General features: G+C 35.4%; 1 protein-coding gene and 1 long non-coding RNA gene across 4 annotated transcripts in view; one reads left to right on the top strand and one right to left on the bottom strand.

Annotated features, from left to right (window-relative positions):
- Window positions 1-19,063, bottom strand: part of LOC124901389 (uncharacterized) — a 96,627-nt gene that overhangs the window by 47,897 nt on the left and 29,667 nt on the right. The window lies entirely within an intron of this gene.
- Window positions 1-19,063, top strand: part of FAM184A (family with sequence similarity 184 member A) — a 189,366-nt gene that overhangs the window by 165,484 nt on the left and 4,819 nt on the right. Inside the window, exons 10-16 of one of the 3 annotated variants that reach the window (NM_024581.6) lie at window positions 3,295-3,507; window positions 4,127-4,280; window positions 7,601-7,728; window positions 8,437-8,621; window positions 9,071-9,217; window positions 16,693-16,810; window positions 18,874-18,978. In NM_024581.6, the coding sequence (NP_078857.5) occupies window positions 3,295-3,507; window positions 4,127-4,280; window positions 7,601-7,728; window positions 8,437-8,621; window positions 9,071-9,217; window positions 16,693-16,810; window positions 18,874-18,978 (1,050 nt within the window). The remainder of the gene's footprint in view (window positions 1-3,294; window positions 3,508-4,126; window positions 4,281-7,600; window positions 7,729-8,436; window positions 8,622-9,070; window positions 9,218-16,692; window positions 16,811-18,873; window positions 18,979-19,063) is intronic. The other 2 variants (NM_001100411.3, NM_001288576.2) reach the window with 2 other exon arrangements.

Genomic DNA, 19,063 nt, shown 5'->3' with positions numbered 1-19,063 from the left:
AGAATTTAAAAACTAAAGATTAAATTATTTTCTGAAATAAAATATTTTGGTTTATTTAAACAAAATAAGAAATAGAATTTTTTAAATTTTAACGAATGTATAGAAACTAATACCGTGCACTACATAATTTGAATATAATATATAGTTTGAAGCAACTACTTGTTCTCATTCTTTATTCAACACAAGCCTTTCTAGATATTCTATAATTCTGTAATAAAAATACTTACCAAAATTGCCTAAACCTTTTAAAGCAGAGGTTTTTTATCTTTTGAGTTAAAGTTTTACATTAATATGTATTTCTATTGATTATATTAAACTCAGCTGTTTAAATTATAGCTATAAAAATTAATTCACTTTACATTACTTTGCTCATTGTCTTTTAAAGTGCCATGTACTTTTCATGCTGAATAAAAGCTATTTATTGCAATTCTGCTAACTTGTTTTTAAAAAGAACAAAATAAATTTTGATATTGCATTGCATGATTAAGGCTTTCTGCATATAATTCACATTACTGTCTTGAGCATGAATTCAAAGATTTTCGATGGCCTTAATATTATTTTGATGTGCTTTCAAAGTTAAGAATACAAAATATCTAAGTATGTTTGAACACTAAATTGCATGATCATATCTTTCTGCACATAGTTTATATTATTTTCTTGAGTGTAGATACAAAGATTAATCACATATCCTAAGATGGAAAGTACTATTTTGGAGTTCTTTCAAGGTAAAGTATATTACAATGTAAAATATTTAAGTGTATTTTATTTTAGCTGGAGAAATTTAAAACTCTGTAGATTTTAAATATGTAACTATTATGCACTGTGGTACTTCCAGTCATTCACTTTAAATATTGCATTTCTTCATAAGTTTCATCTGTTAATAGGTCAAACGTGAGTCAAATTAACGTATGAGAGGTCTGTCGATTCAGCAAATTTTGAAGTAGGTATTGCAGAAAATAAGAAACACCACTGTGAGCTGATTGGTTTCCTACTAATTGAAGTACACACTAAATTTGAGGATGGGATCCAGGGCCACTGCTAGCCTATATGGCACCTTTGTGCAAAGCAGAAAAACATGTCCATTCTTTTTGGATGGACACAGATCTGTACCAGGGCAGACAGCTTGGTGAGCAGAATGCTGGGTAGACTTTAATCCCCACTTGGTCAGGTGCCAAGTAATAGCTTTGAGAATATTGTTATTCTGCATGTGACACACCCTTTCCAGCTTTCCCGTATACATTTCAACAAGTTATCCTCAGAAACAAAAAAGGCAGTCCCATGGGTCCCCATGCTTAGGCTGGGACTAGGGTTGAACTTCCAAAGAGAGGGGGTAGGTGCTTTCTCTATTTCAAGAACCAACTTGCTGGGAAGAGAACGGCTCTACCGGTTACAAATCAGTGTTCACAAATGTCTATTTTTGTTCTTGTTACCCTTTTGTGGTTTATTTTTTCTTTCTAGGCTGTCTTCAATATTCGTTTTATCCTGATTTTCATTGCATAAAATGGTGAGAAGTCATGTGGTATAATTTATCATATTCCACAAGTATGGCCTTAGCTGTGGCTGTGAGATTCTTATGCGCATATCACATTCTCACATTTGCAGGATTTATTTCAGTCTGTAAGTCGTGGGTGCTGCTGCCATTTAGAGGTATAAGGAGTTGTGATATTTGGTATCAGAGGGTTGCAGTTCCACCTTGGCTCCAAAACTTTAAAATAACCTCTGAAACCTTAGGTTTTTGTAGAAATTAATAAGCAGAATTCATAAAGTTTGAACAGGTGGAGTCACTTATTCGGAAATACATTAAAACAGATTACACCTAGATTGTTCATACGATTTCTCACCAGTGCTTGACTGTTTCCATAAAGCCATATGCTAACCTTTATAACTAACTCTGATTGATAACTTTGTCCAGAACCCTTCTGGAAGGCTAATCATCACCCTAAGCTCACTACAGTCTGTGACTGTTCCTGCTGCTTTTTAAAGGGATATGGTGGCTTGCTTTCGACCTTTTCTTTTTCCAATTAATGATTCTTTCCTCCGTTCTTCTCTTGCATGTCTAGTGATTCCCCGCCTTTTCTCTTTCTTTCCCAGGTACCTTTCTTTGTGACGCATGTGAGGCAACTTATGTCTGCCTTCCATCAATTAAAAGAGAGTATTTTCCCATTTACAAAAACTCACTTTAAAGTTTCCTCTTTTCATTGGCTTTTTTGGCCGCAGAAACTGTTTTACCAGTATATAAAAGCATAGAGTGTTTTAAGTTGCTTATGGAACACATTTTACAACTTTGTATCTGGTTCTCCTAAGTTCCTCTTAGATTTAGACTTCTTTTAGAATACAGATACGTAGTTTCAAGTTACAATATCCTGTGTATGAGAATAGAAATAGGTCAATTAAATGGTTTTATCAAATGCATATATGAACGTATATAATACATACATATACCTGTTTTATGTTTTTATTCTTCCCAAAATACTTAATTTTAAGTATATTAAGACATCTAGAAGTGATACAGACATACTGAGGCTGATGTCTGTTTTCAAAAGGAGTGACAAATCAGTTTTCCATAGTGAAAGAAAAGCACCTGACATTATTATAATGGCTGAATAAAAGATTGTGGGACGTTTGAGACATTTTAGAAACTTAAAGGTTTTCAATAACTTTGAGTTAAATGAAAAATAAAAATTTACATGATGATTCTAAATTATAAACTGATGTATCTTTTAAACAGTAGGTTTTTAATTCTCAAATAATCTTAGCTAATATTTGTTGAATGCTTAGTACATGCCAGAGTCTGTTCAAAGTGAGCTATATGTAGTAACATAGCCTGGTGAGGTGTTGATACTAACAAGTGACAGAGCTAGGATTTTAACTCAGAGCTCACACTCCTATTTCACTTTACTACTTTACAAATAAGTGGTTTAACATACTCTTTCCTCAAAGTGACTATAACCTAATGAATATGTTAGTTGTCTTCTGTTTTTATTTCATATTATGAATTTTTATTGAAACTTAAGACAGATATTCATTGTATTCTAAATGTGGGCTGCAGTGTTCTTTAGACAGTCTATAAACAATATAACTAAACTATTTTCAGAATAATTACAGAAAGTGGAATTTTAAATGGTGATATTAAATGGTTATTTTTATGATATATTTTAGAATATTTTAAATGGAAACATTAAGGCAGTTATTTTACTATCATTAATATCTTTGAAATGCTTTTCCCCCTTTGCTGGGTAGTTTGTGAACTATGCCTTGTATTTATTCTTCATTGTGTACCATTCTGGGGCATAGATTTCCTTGCTGAAACAGAATCTGGAGATACAGCTTTCCCAGTCTCAGACTTCTTTGCAACAACTGCAAGCCCAGTTTACGCAAGAACGACAGCGGCTTACGCAAGAGCTTGAAGAATTAGAGGAGCAACATCAGCAAAGACACAAATCATTAAAAGAAGCACATGTCCTTGCATTTCAAACTATGGAAGAGGAAAAGGAAAAGGAGCAAAGAGTAAGTTTTATGTGACATACGTTCAAATGTAACCCAACTGCCTAATAATAATTAGTCTTCAAATTAAAAAAATTTTTTTTTCTATTTTTTGAGACAGGGTCTCACTCTGTCACCCAGGCTGAGGTGCAGCAGCACAATCATGGCTCACTGCAGTCTCGACTTCCTAGACTCGTGATTTTTCCACCTCAGCCTCCTGAATAGCTGGGACTATAGGCGCACACCACCATGCCTGGCTAATTTTTTAATTTTTTTTTTTTTGTAGAAACAGGGTCTCGCTATGTTGCCCAGGCTGGTCTTGAATTCTGGGGCTCAAGCAATCCTTCCACCTTGTCCTCCCAAACTGCTGGGATTACAAGGGTGAGCCACTGTGCCCAGCCTGTTCAATATATAGACAAAATACATTGAATCAAATTGGTTTCATGATGATTTCTTTATTCTACTGAAATGACCCTAATTATTTTTTCTAATGTTGATTATCTTATGTCTAGTTTTCTTGAAAATGAACCTAAAACATTTTGTATTTCTTAAATAATAACTGAGTTTTAGTAACTGTTTTCTATTTTGTTTGCATTTTCCTTCCTATATTCTAGCATAATAATTTGAATTTGTCTTGTTCTAGGCTCTTGAAAATCATTTACAACAGAAGCATTCTGCAGAGCTTCAATCACTAAAAGATGCACACAGAGAGTCAATGGAGGGCTTCCGGATAGAAATGGAACAGGAACTTCAGACTCTTCGGTTTGAATTAGAAGATGAAGGAAAGGCTATGCTTGGTATTTTGAAAAGATTACAATCTTGTCATATTCATATGTACATTTTTAACATTTTTTAAATTCAACATAAAATCACCAAGTTTTATTTTAAAATTTTGAAACGTCAAAATGAATATCTAAGTGTACTGCATATTTTATTTGAAGTTACCACATGAATAGGCAGGACACAAACAGTAAAGTGAATTCCCCTCAGCTCTCTCTGTACTCCAGCTATGCAAGCAACACCACTGGTACTCTAATCTGTCCTTTTTGGACTAAGTGGACTCAGGACATTGAGGTGTCCCAGAAATCAATCACTGCTCAGTAGAAAGGACATGGAGCCACATGTCCTTAGACTGCATGGTCATATGGTTTTTTACACTTCAAGATTTTGTTTTAATGGGAAAAGTCAGTATTAGGTCTGACTCTTCTGTTGAGGTATATATTTCTTTGAGATTTCTACCTATGAGGTGTTCACATCATTACTTTTTATAAGGAGGTAGGTTGAGTTTTGAAGAAAAACTGGATATGTATTTAAAGATTTGTTTTGGGTTTTGTTTTTTATGTCATTCAATAACTTTTTATTCTTACCATCTCATTTTCCTTCTGTTTGGCTTTATTCCAAATTATGCTAATATTTTTAACATGTTGTCATACTTCAGTGGCACACTCTTTCCAAGTAGGAATTTGGAGCAAAGAAGACTGAAGTGTTATCAATATTTTGGGCCTCAAAGGGAAAGCCGTCTGACCCTGTTTCTCATCGATAATGTTGCTGGGAGTCCCAGACCAAGTCGTTAAAGCTCTCCTCTTCCTCCTTTAAAACCCACTATGACTGCTAGCATGAAAATCAGATTAAATTTAGACATTTGTCAAAGATTTGTGAAAAGCCTTTTCATGTGCTAGAGATTGCTGAGCAAGGAGAATTAAAAAATGAACTACTGCCCTGTCTTTGCACAGGAATTGTAGTGAAATGTAGAGGTCGCCTTTATAGAAATGTGGCCAAAAGGGAATACACATTCCACAGCTTTGTCAGGGCAGGCAAAAACAGTCCCAGTGTTGGAACTATTGTTGTTTAGTCCATTGAAACATGCTCCACTAAACATGATTCAAATATGTCTTTGTTGGCCGGGTGTGGTGGCTCACACCTCTAATCCCAGTACTTTGGGAGGCTGAGGCAGGTGGATCACCTGAGGGCGGGATTTTGAGATCAGCCTGACCAACATGGTGAAACTGCATCTCTACTAAAAATACAGAATTAGCCAGGCGTGGTGGCGCATGCCTGTAATCCTAGCTACTTGGGAGGCTGAGGCGGGAGAATCGCTTGAATCTGGAAGGTCGAGTTTGCAGTGAGCCAAGATCACACCATTGCATTCCAGCCTGGGCAACAAGAGCAAAACTCTGTCTCAAAAAATAAATAAATAAATAAATAAAATATGTCTTTGTTGACAAAAAGAGTTTTGGGTCTTTAAAAAAACTTTTATTTTGAAATAATTGTAGATTCACATGCAGTTTTAAGAAATACTACAGAGATCTCTTTAACTAGTTCCTCCAGTGGTAACATCTTGCAGAACTATGGTACAGTATCACAACCAGTACAATGACGAAGATTCTGTCAAGATTCAGAACATTCCCATTACCATGAAGATGACTCATGTTGTTCATTTATTGCCACACCTATATTCCCAGTCCTCCCCTCCTATAACACCTGGCAACCATTACCCTGTTCATTTCTATGATTTTGTCAGGTTAAGAATGCTCTAATTTTATAAATGAAATCATACAATATTTAACCTTTTTGGGGAGAAGGGATAGGGTCTCACTCTGTTGCCCAGGTTAAGAATGCAGTGGTGTGCTATCAGCTCACTGCAACCTCCACCTCCCGGGTTCAAGCAATCCTCCTGCCTCAGCCTCCTAAGTAGCTGGGACTATAAGTGTGTGCTGCCACACCCAGCTAATTTTTGTAATTTTTGTAGGCAGGGTTTCACCATGTTGCCCAAGCTGGTCTCAAACTCCAGGCCTCAAGTGATCTACGGGTCTCGGCCTCCCAAAGTGCTGGGATTACAGGTGTGAACCACCACACCCAACAATATTTAACATGTAGAGGTTGGCCTTTTTTCACTCGGCATAATTATCTGAAGTCATCTAGGTTATTGTGTGTATCAACAGTTTGTTTCTTTTTATTGCCAAGTAGTATTCAGTGGTTTTGATCCACCGTAGTTTGTTGTCCTTTGCCCGTTAAAGATCACCTGAGCTTTTAGTTCTTAGCTGTTACAAATAAAGCTGCTATAAACATTCACGTACAAATTTCATATAAACATAAGTTTCATTTCTCTGGGATAAGTGCCTAGGAGTGCGGTTGCTGGGTCATATGGCAGCTGCATATGTAGTTTTGTAACAAACTGCCAAACATTTTCTAGAGTGATTGTACCATTTTCCATCCCTACTAGCATCATATAAATTTTGCTCACATCCTCACCAACATTTGATGTTGTCATTATATTTCATCCTTTCTGATAGGAATGTGTGATAACTCATTCTGGTTTTAATTTGCATTTTCCTAGTGGCTCATGATATTGAACATTTTTCAATATCATGAGAACATTGACCAGCCAGGCTCCTTTAGGGATATTTTTGAAGAATTCTTATTTGGGTGAGAAGTTGCCTCCTAAATATTTGTTATGGTACCATTAAACTCTAAAATTTCATTCTTTTTTTTTTTTTTGAGATGGAGTCTCACTCTGTTGCCCAGGCTGGAGTGCAATGGCGTGATCTCGGCTCATTGCAACCTCTGCCTCCCAGGTTCACGCAATTCTCCTGTGTCAGTCTTCTGAGTAGCTAAGATTACAGGAACCTACCACCATGCCTGGCTAATTTTTTGTATTTTTAGTAGAGACGGGGTTTCACCATGTTGATCAGGCTGGTCTCGAACTCCTGACCTCAGGTGATCCACCCACCTCGGCCTCCCAAAGTGCTGGGATTATAGGCATGAGCCCCCGTGCTTGACCAAATTTTATTATCCTAATAGTGAAAGAGACGAATTAAAAATACTTCATCTCCATTAGCACTTTACCTGCATACTGAAAGCATGTATAAAAATACCTTGATCCGCTTAAACATTTGAAATATTTTATATCCTCATCAAAGCTACATTAACTTTAAATTCATGATAGTATATTGTAGTCTGTAATATTTAAATTTGTCATAGTTTATAATCTATTAATTTAATGGACATACACAAGTGTTCTAATTTTTGAAATAATTTTTTACTTCTATAATTTTTATCTAAAGTATTGATAATATTTTTTAAATGTGCCAAATGTATTTTTGCCTTGCAATTCCAGCTTCCTTGCGCTCAGAACTCAACCATCAACATGCAGCTGCAATTGATTTGTTACGGCATAATCATCATCAAGAATTGGCAGCTGCTAAAATGGAATTAGAGAGAAGCATAGACATCAGCAGAAGACAGGTAAGTAAGAGTATTCTGTACTCTGATGATTTCTTAAATTTGAATAGATTGAATGTTCATAATTTCCTGAAAATTATTTTGTAATAACTTATTTTCACTAGTTATCACATTCTATTTATATTGAAGAGCTTTATTTGATTCAGTTATTTATTTATTTGAGACAGGGTCTCGCTTTGTCACTGAGGCTGGAGTGGAGTGGCACAATCACAGAAGGGAGCTTAACTGTCAGATAACTGCTAGAGCAGCACTAAACTAAGTCTGCTTTGTAAGCCATGTGATGTGTGTGTTTTAGGAGGGCCTCCTTAGATGCACTTTCTCTTTAGATTATAGGCAGTGGTGCCACAATTATTCTTCAAAATCATGTAAAACTTACTGAGGATGTAAGAGCACTGTGTTCTAATCTCAACTAATCCACTGATTATAAATCATCTTTGGGTATTGGTTTCCTCATCTGTAAAATGAGAGAGATGTCCTTTGACCTTTTGGGTTCTTTGTAATCTGACATTATTGAAGCTATATCCATATACACACTATATGTGTGGAAAGAGAACAGGCCTTGAGGTTTTCTCATTTCAGCAGTTTGCTTTTGAAGAAGCAATGTCAGAATGATTACATTTGACATTCCAGTGTGTCATTTTCTTTCCCGCAGATAAACACAGAAATCAAATATGTAGAAAACTTCTAAAAATGACTTTTTTTTTTTAACAGAGTAAGGAGCACATATGTAGAATTACAGATCTACAAGAGGAATTAAGACACAGAGAGCATCACATCTCTGAATTGGATAAGGAGGTTCAGCACCTTCATGAGAATATAAGTGCCCTAACCAAAGAACTGGAATTTAAGGGGAAAGAAATTCTCAGAATACGAAGTGAATCTAACCAACAGATAAGGTATGCCATTAAGTACAACAGAAGGAATATGCAGTGTCATCTGAAAAACTGTTGTGCTGATATTTAGTAATCTATGCTAATTTTGTGACTAGACTGGCTCTCTAGTAAAATATTGAAGACCTCTTTTTACTTTATTTGATGACTATGTTATAATCTAGAACACAGATGAAATGTTTATATCTTGAATGATGTAACATGTATTCATTCACTTTGGAAATTGTATATAATTAACTGAATTCTTTTTAAAATGTTATTTGAAAAAGCATTAAAGGAGACAACTTTAACAAAGCCAGAAGCTTATAGCAGAAAGTAAGTAGCTTAATTTAGGCTGTTTACATAAATTTTCTATATATTATACCAAAAACCATTTCAAATCTGGTAGAATAATAGAAAGTTTTGAAAGCTTGACTTCAGAATAACATTTTCTTAACTAAAAATAAATCAAACAGGTTGCATGAACAAGATTTAAACAAGAGACTTGAAAAAGAGTTGGATGTCATGACAGCAGACCACCTCAGAGAGAAAAATATCATGCGGGCAGATTTTAATAAGACTAACGAGCTACTCAAGGAAATAAATGCCGCTTTACAAGTGTCGTAAGTCATATTATATAAGAAAATTCATATGTGGATAATAAATTTAGGAGCACTGTGTTTAACCTCAGATTAGCTGTTATTTTGACTCTAATAAAAAGGATACTTTAAAAAGAAAATTTTAGTGCTGTGTTACAGATGGTAATTGCAGTGCTATATGTTCTTTAATTAGGATGAGGCAGTTGAATGATGATGTTTTATCAACTAAGACTGCACCAGTTCTGCTAGAACAGTAATCTAAAGAATGTTCCTTAGGATCATGAACTATCATGCCATGGTGAAAACTGAAAATATGGCTATATATAATGTTAAGTAAAAAGAATATATAGTGAACAATAGGAATACTATGATCCTATATACACACTAATAATGTATATTTTACCAAAATATCAAAATATCTTAACAAATACCAAATTTTAATGGTAATGGTTCCCTCAAGAGAATGGATTAGGAGGTACTGGAGATGAGAAAGAGCAATTCTTTCTTTTTATTTTATATACTCCACTTACATATTGTTTAAATTCCTACAAGAAGCATCTAATTGTCTTATGATTTTAAAAATCAATAAAGGGGAAAACATTACAAATAAAGTTACCGCTCATACATAGTAACTACAGTATTGTTAAAACCAAAGTTTCTAATTCTTATTTAATGTTCTTTGGAAACATTTAATAACCCTTCCTTTCCTAGATGCTTGTAAACTGATGTAGCTAATGCAGTTTGTACTCAGTCCATCTCTGTGGCCTAAACCCTGGTCCAACATAAGTTATTTCAGAATTAATCTACTCTAAGCTGCTGCTAGTAGTTTATTCACCTTTAGTCTCTCCTCTTCCAATCAAATATATATATATCCACATACTTCAGTAAAGTCACAATTAGTGACTAATCCCATTATCCTTCATGTCAAAGTCAAATGTAAACTTAACAGCTCCAATGTGCCTTATTCTACATCATCCAACAGCAACCCTTATTTCTTATTCTGTCTTTTTATCAGCCTAGTGGACCTTCTTGGTTTCCTGTGTTGTCCTCTACAGTCTAGAATAACCTCCTGTGTTGTTGCCGTTTTAAGTATTGTCCTCAAATCTAAAAATTATCTTCTTTTATTTGATTTATGTGACCAATTCAATCTTTCGGTAAAGATTGTTACATACATAGGCAACACCACAACACACACATACAGACGCACACATGCACACACATGTATTCACTTAAGCCACAGCAGAAAACAGGTCCCCAGTTGTTATTTACTTGAGTATGCTGTGAGATGAGGTGCTCTTTCTGATGGGCATATTCAGAATCGTTACATTAGTTAAGCACTCAGTGAATGTTTCATGAATGAATTTTATGATTCTTTCTCCATCATATTTACCACTTTTTGAAGTTGCCTTTGAAATGGTGAGGAAACTTGTGTTACTTCCCTGGTCACTCTGAGTTTGGTGTTTGCTGTTATTAGAGGTGATTTTTAAATCCTTTTGGGCCAAGTATGAGCTCAGGTATCTGCCTTGTATAACAGCTCATAACCCCATACTTTTGCAGAAATGATTTACAATAGACCTCAATTCCTTGGCTGTCCTTTTTCCTGGCCTCAGTGGTACTCCTCAGACAGAGACTGAAATCTTGGCATCCCCCACTTCATGCTCCGAAAAAACATAGTCACAGAAAGAATAACGTCAGTCTGTCTGTGTGTCCTGTCTCCTTAGGAATGTTAATTTACAAAGAGTAAAGGTTGTGTCCTTGTTTTTCCTTTATTCTGTTGCATATGGTTTTGCACATTATGAATCTTCAGTAGGTAGCAAATAACTTAGTTTTTGATTTTATGATCATTTTTAATAATCAAAGAATTAGTATTTGCTTTTAAGTAAACTACCTGCTTTTCTAGACTCTCCTTTCATTTTAATGCTTCCACTTGGGTCCATGCTAACCAATTATGTTTCTTTTTTCACCAGAAACTTACTGCCACCAGGTAATTACCCCCTAGCTTTAGGTGTTTACTCCTTTAGTTAAAAACAAACACACACCAAATTTATATTTGACCAACACTGTCCAATAGATTGTGATAATGAAAATGTTTTGTATCTGCTTTGTCCAGGTTAGTAGCTTCTAGCTAAAAATGGCTCTTGAATGCTTGAACGGTGATTAGCATAACTGAGGAGCTGAATTTATAAATTTCATTTAATTTTAATTAATTTAAATGTAAATAGCCATATGCAGACTAATGGCTACAATGTTGGAAAACATAGTTTTAGACAATTGGTTGTTTCTGTTTCATATCCTTAAATGCAGCCTGCTTGGATCTGCTGAATGGTTTGGATTTAGACAGGTAGTGAGCAGGGAGAGTTGGTTCCAACTTATGGAGCTGTGGGAAACAGTATCTGTACTGTTCCCAAGGACTAGGGGATTCTATTGAAGTTCCTAATCAGCTGCACCCTGGCTTTAAAACTTTGAAATCAGAAGAGTCCTGTGGATTCCTGGAAGGCAGTGGTGCTGGGGGCTGAAGGGACATGGTGCAGCCTGACAGGCCACAGCCTGCCACTGAGGAAGCTTGGGGGCAGAGGCAGCTTCTTGCTTCTGCTCCTGCCCCAAATCCTGTTGAACTCCCTTCCTGGAGAGAGAAGGGTGGGGCAACACATGTAAAGGATGGGAAATACCCTCTAAGTCTGTAAGTATTGTAGAAGTGGTGATGAGTTCTATATTGCTTATGGATGATGATTATTACAAATCCGCTTTGGTGCTGGAAGTTAAAGTTTTAGATTTTTCAGAGAGTTCTATAGAAATTTTATTTTTCAGTGATATAGTAGTAAAAACTTTATATCTAATAAAAATGTCCTGATTCTGGTTTCTTTTAGAAACAAATGAGAAAATGGGCTGTTTGATTTTTTTTTATCTGAATGATTTACTCTGTAAGTAAAGAAAGTTCAAGCTAAATGAAAACATTCTCTACAACTTGAGGTCATGGCCGATTTTTAATATGCAAAAAGATGGTTCTGAGATTACTGATTGTTTAGGTTTATTTCACAAAAGATGATTTCTTCTTGAGAGAAATGTTGAGTTTCTATACTTAGATTTTAAATAGATCAGTAATCCCCAATTGAAAAGAAGCACTCCGCCACACCTGAATTACTAATTTTTTGTTTAAGTTTTGAGTCCTTTCATCTATAATACCCAAATAACTTTTGTTTTTGTTGTCATTTGATTTTTAATTTACCATTCAGGTATGGTTGTAAGCTTTGTGAGGTACGGAAGTAGTCTTGTCACAAATCAGAGTCTGTGCGTAATTTATGGGAAAAGAAAGGTTCAGCGTTAAAGTGCTTCAATTGCTATATTTCCTTTATTTAAGAGTTTAGAAAATGATGATATAGGAGTTTTTTCATCTTTATAAAATCAAAGTTATAGGATATATGTGTGCATAATATACTATTGTTTGGTTATGAAACAATAGTATACCATTTTTGGTTCTAAAATTCACTGATTTTATTTTTTTATCCTTTTCTTTTTCTTAACAAGACTATAACTTGGAAACTTTGTATACAGCTTTTTAGGCATTTGTAATTTAGGCCTGTTGTCCATGAATCACAGACATTGACCTGTATATTGTCAGAGCCAAAGAAAGCAGGGCATGCATGCCTGGTGAGAATCCATCAGTGGCCCTAATTAGTAATTTTATATGTTCTACTTCTCCTTTCTCCTTTTTTCCCCCTTTCTCTTCTCTCTTCTATTACTTTTAATGGAAATCTGTAAAATTTGAGTAAAAGGCTACACTTGTGTGGTATTCTCAAGGCGGCATTTCCCAGGCTTTAATCATCCTTGGGATGATCATATACATCCTTGGGAATTGGGTCATTTCTGGCTACGTATATTATTTTCTTAATATTTTTAATTGACTTATTTTAACTTAAATATTTAATAGGAAAACTTGATATCACTACAGTAGAACATTTATCACTACTGAAAAATTTTATCCTTTATTCTAAATAAAAGCTAAGCTATAATTATATGAATGTAAATTTTGTGAAAATAAAACAATGTTATTAGATTCTAGCTAGCATTTATGCTGAAGTCCTGCCTGAGTGTTGTGAAATAGAGTAATGAACATAAGTTATGAAGGCAATTTAAGATATACAGACCCGGCTGGGCACAGTGGCTCATGCCTGTAATCCCAGCACTTCTGGGAGGCCGAGGCAGGCGGATCACCTGAGGTCAGGAGTTTGAGACCAGCCTGACCAACATGGTAAAACCCCGTCTCTACTAAAAATACAAAAATTAGCCGAGTGTGGTGGCAGACACTTGTAATCCCAGCTACTTGGGAGACTGAGGCAGGAGAATCGCCTGGACCCGGGAGGTGGAGGTTGCAGGTAACTGAGATTGTGCCATTGCACTCCAGCCTGGGTGACAGAACAAAACTCCATCTCAAAAAAAAAAAAATATATATATATATATTATATATATATACACCCAAACAATTTTTTTTTCTTGTGATTAGAAAGATTAAAGAACCAACTTAAAAACAGCTGTGTATGCAGGAACAAAACCAAACTCCACATGTTCTCACTCATAAGTGGGAGTTGAACAAGGAGAACATGTGGGCCCAGGGAGGGGAACATCACACACCAGGGCCTGTCACGGGGTGGGGGGCAGGGGGAGGGATAGCATGAGGAGAAATACCTAATGTAGATGATGGGTTGATGGGTGCAGCAAACCCATGTATACCTGTGTAACAAACCTGCATGTTCTGCACATGTATCCCAGAGCTTAAAGTATAATTAAAAAACAAAACAAAACTGTATCACCAGTTGTTCACACCTGGACTAAATTTTAGAAGCAGTGCTGGTTATGAGAGCTGCCTGCGGCAACTGAAGAAAAGAAAAATATTGACTAGTCTTGGCTTGAAATGGATATCGGAATAGTATCAAGTTTTCTTTCTGTAAAAATTTTGAAAGACTAGTAATTAATGAAATATATTTGCAAGTTAAATCTATATCATATTACTTACTTGTTCTCTCCTTTAATGCTTTCCTGTTTGTGTTTATATGGATTATGTTTTTTCTATTTAATCAATTATATTTTCCTATTTAATATCCAGGTGTTTTTCTTATTAAACATTTTTGATGATGTAAAAATATTGTATTAGTCCGTTCTCACGCTGCTAATAAAGTCATGCCCGAGACTGGGTAATTTATAAAGGAAAGAGGTTTAATTGACTCACAGTTCAGCATGGCTGGAGAGGCCTCAGGAAACTTACAATCATGGCGGAAGGGGAAGTAAACACATCCTTATTCACATGGTGACAGGAAGAAGAAGGGCCAAGCAAGGGGGGAAATGATTTTCCCTTATAAAACCATCAGATCTTTTGAGAAGTTACTGTCATGAGAATAGCATGGGGATAACTGCCCCCATGATTCAATTACTTCCCACCAGGTTTCTCCCATGACACATGGGGATTGTGGGGACTACAATTCAAGATGAGATTTGGGTGAGACACAGCCAAACTATATCAGATATTTTATAGAGAAGATTAACTGATAATAATTCTGTAGGCAAAGGATGTTTAAGCTAAATAAAAACACTGCAATTTGGATTCAGGGATAGACCTTTATTATGCAAAAAAAAGTGGTTCAGAGATTGTAACTGATTGCTTTAGATTCACTTTACCTTAACTTCTCAATTAACAAAAAAATAGAAATAATAGTTTTAAATAAGGCTTTAAATTTAGTTGTTTAGCTACCATTTATACCAAGTATTCTTGCTCAGCTGCGGGAAGCAGTTCATAAATCTTGTACTTTGCTTTTAATGATAAAAGAAAGTGCTCCAGTGACCTCTTGTGGTTTCTCCAACATAAAACCCAAATTGCCATTTCTTTTACTAGTTTAGTATTTCTCGACTCTTAATGTTTGCCCATAAAATACTTTAAGAGTTAACTCTGCCATATTGGGATAAAATGCAAGGTCACTTTATTTGAGTTAACAAATCACATTATTTTTCACTTGGTCTCTATTGTCACAAAAGAACAAAAGTTAAAGATAGTGGAACTTAACACATTGTACAGCAAGGTTGTTCAACCCACGGCCTGCAGGCCATATGCAGCCCAGGACAGCTTTGAATGTGGCCCAACACAAATTCGTAAACTTTCTTAAAGCATGATAAGATTTTTTTATTGAGTTTTTTTTTTAAGCTCATCAGCTATCATTAGTGTTAGTGTATTTTGTGTGCCCGAAGACAATTCTTTAAATGTGGCCCAGGGAAACCAAAAGATTGGACACCCCTGTTGTACAACTTACCTCGCACTGATCTGATGAAGTCCTAGCTGATCCTGAGACAATCACTTCCTCACTTCCTCATCACCTTCATACCTCCCAACACTCTAATTGAGAACTTTAGCCAGGGGACTGGATAGAGGGCCTAATATGTTATCTCCAAATCTTTAGCTTAGGCTGAGTTTTTGGAGGGATTTTATGGTACTCAAATACACTGAGATTCAGGTACCTCTCTAGGGTTTTGGGTGGGAATAGGAATGTATAACTGATTTCTGGAAGATAGATCATCTACAAGTTACTCAGTATTCATGAGTGAATAATTTTTTCTAAGAATCTTTATTAACCATAATTTTATTGAATAATGTTATTGAAATTTTAAGTTCTATCCTTTATATCCTGAAAACAAGATTTTTAAAATTGTTCTAAGTATTTGCATTTTCTAAAATTGAAAGTGCTTTTTCTGAAACTAAGCCAGCAGTTTCCATTTGTATTCTCTTCAGTCTGCCCCATCCTATATTCTTAGACTCAGCAGGATGTGTCACCTGCTTATAAAAAGTGGCCTATATTTTAACGTTCAAGGCATTCAGGCCTATTACCACCTCATATCATTCAGGACAGAATAGGCTTAGAAGGGAACATAATTCTTCTCTTACCTGATGAAACTTTTTTTCAGTTTGTATGTATTGGCTGATAATATAGAATTTTTAAACTTTCTTTTCTATAAACCAGGAAAAAATGACGTCATACATGTGTGTCCTTTGTTTTGCTTTCATCTGTATTTGTTTCTTGTCCTTTTTATATGTTACCAAGCCTTGTGTTATCACACAGTATTGTATTGTGATAAGCACTTGTAATAGTGAGCCTGCCTTTCTAGTATCAAACCTGTTATTTGTCAGGTTAGTATCATTCAACATATAATTTCTTCTGCAGAGCTTATCTCCAGATACTGCTCACCTTTTCTCCAAATACTCTGGAATGACTTAAAATGAGTGACTTCTTCAGAAGTAACCTGCAAAGCCTTTCATAGTACCATCTACCCCTTTAACTCCTTTAATGCAACTACTGCTCTTGAAGCAGTCATGTCATTATGCTTAAAAGTTTTAAGGAAAAAAGAAGTTTTGTTTCAGATTTTTGTGTGTGTTCAACTAGACTAATTTTTTTAATGTAGGTATTACAGAAGAATGTATCTGAGTGATATCAATGAGCTAAAGTCTTTCTTGTTTTCAGATTAGAAGAAATGGAAGAAAAATATCTAATGAGAGAATCAAAACCAGAAGATATACAGATGATTACAGAATTAAAAGCCATGCTTACAGAAAGAGACCAGATCATAAAGAAACTAATTGTAAGATATTTTGGTTTTAGTCTAACCATGTTAGTAATCAATAGATATTGATTGGGAAAATATGGGACAATCTTTTTAAGTAATGCTAAGTGAAAATAGAAAACACAGAACATGTGCATTGTGATTGAAAGTTCATTGAAATGTTTATGAATAAAGTAATTTTTAAAATTTAAATTTGGCATTAGGGTAAGGGAATTGTACGTCTTTCATTTTTTTTAAAAGAAAGTCTTTTTGATACATATTGAATGTTTAATAATATGTCACTGCCAGTATACAATTAATATACCATTGAAGTGTGTGTATGTATGTGTGTTGCACATGTAGTATTAGGATTGGCTAGCAAAGAAAAGCCAGCACATTCATGCATTAGCCTGTATTGTACACTAACAGGTTGAGCATATTGATTTCCTAAAATGTGTCCTAGCAAACACTAATCCAAAATTTTTACTCTATAGAAAAAAAATGTTCCATAATCTAGCCACAGAAAAGTTGCATGCTTTCTCTTGGACGGTCAGTAACACTGAGGTTCTCTCTTGGAAAGTCAGTAACACTGGGTTCTTAATGGCTCTGAAGTTTATCAGCTAAGAAAATACGGATTTAACAATGAATATACTCTTTAACCATTCATATCTTCAGCTGAAGACTTTGGACTTTAGCATGCAAAAAGAGCATAAGAGCAACATGTATTTCTGAAGTCCTTTTTCCTTAATGCATCTCTGTTTGCATTTAGGAGAGGCAGCCTGTTGTCTGAGACTAGAAGTTCCTGCTGAAAGCAACAGGTAGCAGATTGGGGATCACAGGTAGAATCCAGGAGCAGGCTTTGGAGAGATGAGTGTGTGCTGCTTCAATCCACCAGCCACCCAATTTTCTACATATTGTGAACATGAGCACAGGCCTTATAGATTGCTGCATCTGGTAGCAGCAGACTCATGGAAAATTATATTTCACACATGAAATCAGCAAGCATAGTAAATGTATTGAAACTCTGTTCCATATAAATAGCTATTAATTCCCAGTTCTTACTGAGGAGGTGTTATAATTGTATTTTGTCCTCACAGCAAATACAGTAAAGCAACTTTCGAAAGCAGCACAGCTCACCAGGGAAGAGCCAGGATTGTAGGCAAGGGTTGTTCCATACTCCTTCCACAACAGCCTGATTCCGTGGACTGTGAGGCACATAGGTCAAGATTAGTGATTTGAATGACAGTGGTGACTAAGAGAGGCATAAAGAATTCTACTAGATTTCACTAGAATGTAGTTCTGCTAGAGCACAGCCCTGCATTCTCCCACACACTGTTGTATTTACTTATGGCCTTCCCACATTCTGCTTACTCAATTAGAACATCTTGTTGGTGAAGCCAAAGGTAAAGGTTTTATCTCTATGTGGGCAATCACTTTTTCCCTGTTCTTTGATTACCATTGCTATCATAGATTAATATCTCATATTAGATGCAATCGAATCTATTTACAGTACTGAAGAATAATGAGGCCGGATATGATGGCTCATGCTTATAATCCCAGCACTTTGGGAGGCCGAAGCCAGAGGATTGCTTGAGGCTAGGAGTTTGAGTCCAACCTGGATGATGTAGTGAGACCCTACCTCTACACACACCAAAAAAAAAAAAAAAACAAACAAAAAAAACTTAGCTGGGTATGGTGGCACATGCCTATAAAAAGAAATGGAAATAAAGATTAATGATATAGTTTCATCCTTATCTGTGGAAACAATTCAGTCATGCCCAGAGCCCCATGAATGTAAGTTGTAAACCTGCCCAAACTGCATAGTCAGCCCTGTGAAACAGCTAGGACCAAATAAAACATTTAGGTCCACTTTTGAAGGAAAAGGGTCAAGTGCTCGGGTATGGGGTTTAAAAGGTGTTGAAAACTTATCCCCCAACATTCCTTAAGACAGCAGCAATCATGTCAAGAAATCTTTAAACAAAGTATCTAAATCTTCATTCAGGTTTTATAGTAAATTTTAAATGAAATGGCGTTTATACATTTATGTTTTTAAAATATTCCATAGAAAATATTTAAAAGATGTTTATAATTCTTTTGCATAGGAGGATAATAAGTTTTATCAGCTGGAATTAGTCAATCGAGAAACTAACTTCAACAAAGTGTTTAACTCAAGTCCTACTGTTGGTGTTATTAATCCATTGGCTAAGGTATGTGCCGTAAACACTGTAGAATAGGAATGTGGTTTAAAAGTTGGTTAAAAATTTGGTGAAAATATTTGGAGCAGCATAGTTA

The sequence above is a fragment of the Homo sapiens genome, chromosome 6, assembly GCF_000001405.40.
Source record: "Homo sapiens chromosome 6, GRCh38.p14 Primary Assembly".
NCBI classification, from domain to species: Eukaryota; Metazoa; Chordata; class Mammalia; order Primates; family Hominidae; genus Homo; species Homo sapiens.
The sequence above is the reverse complement of the archived record's forward strand: the minus strand, read 5'-3'. Positions and strand labels throughout refer to the sequence as shown.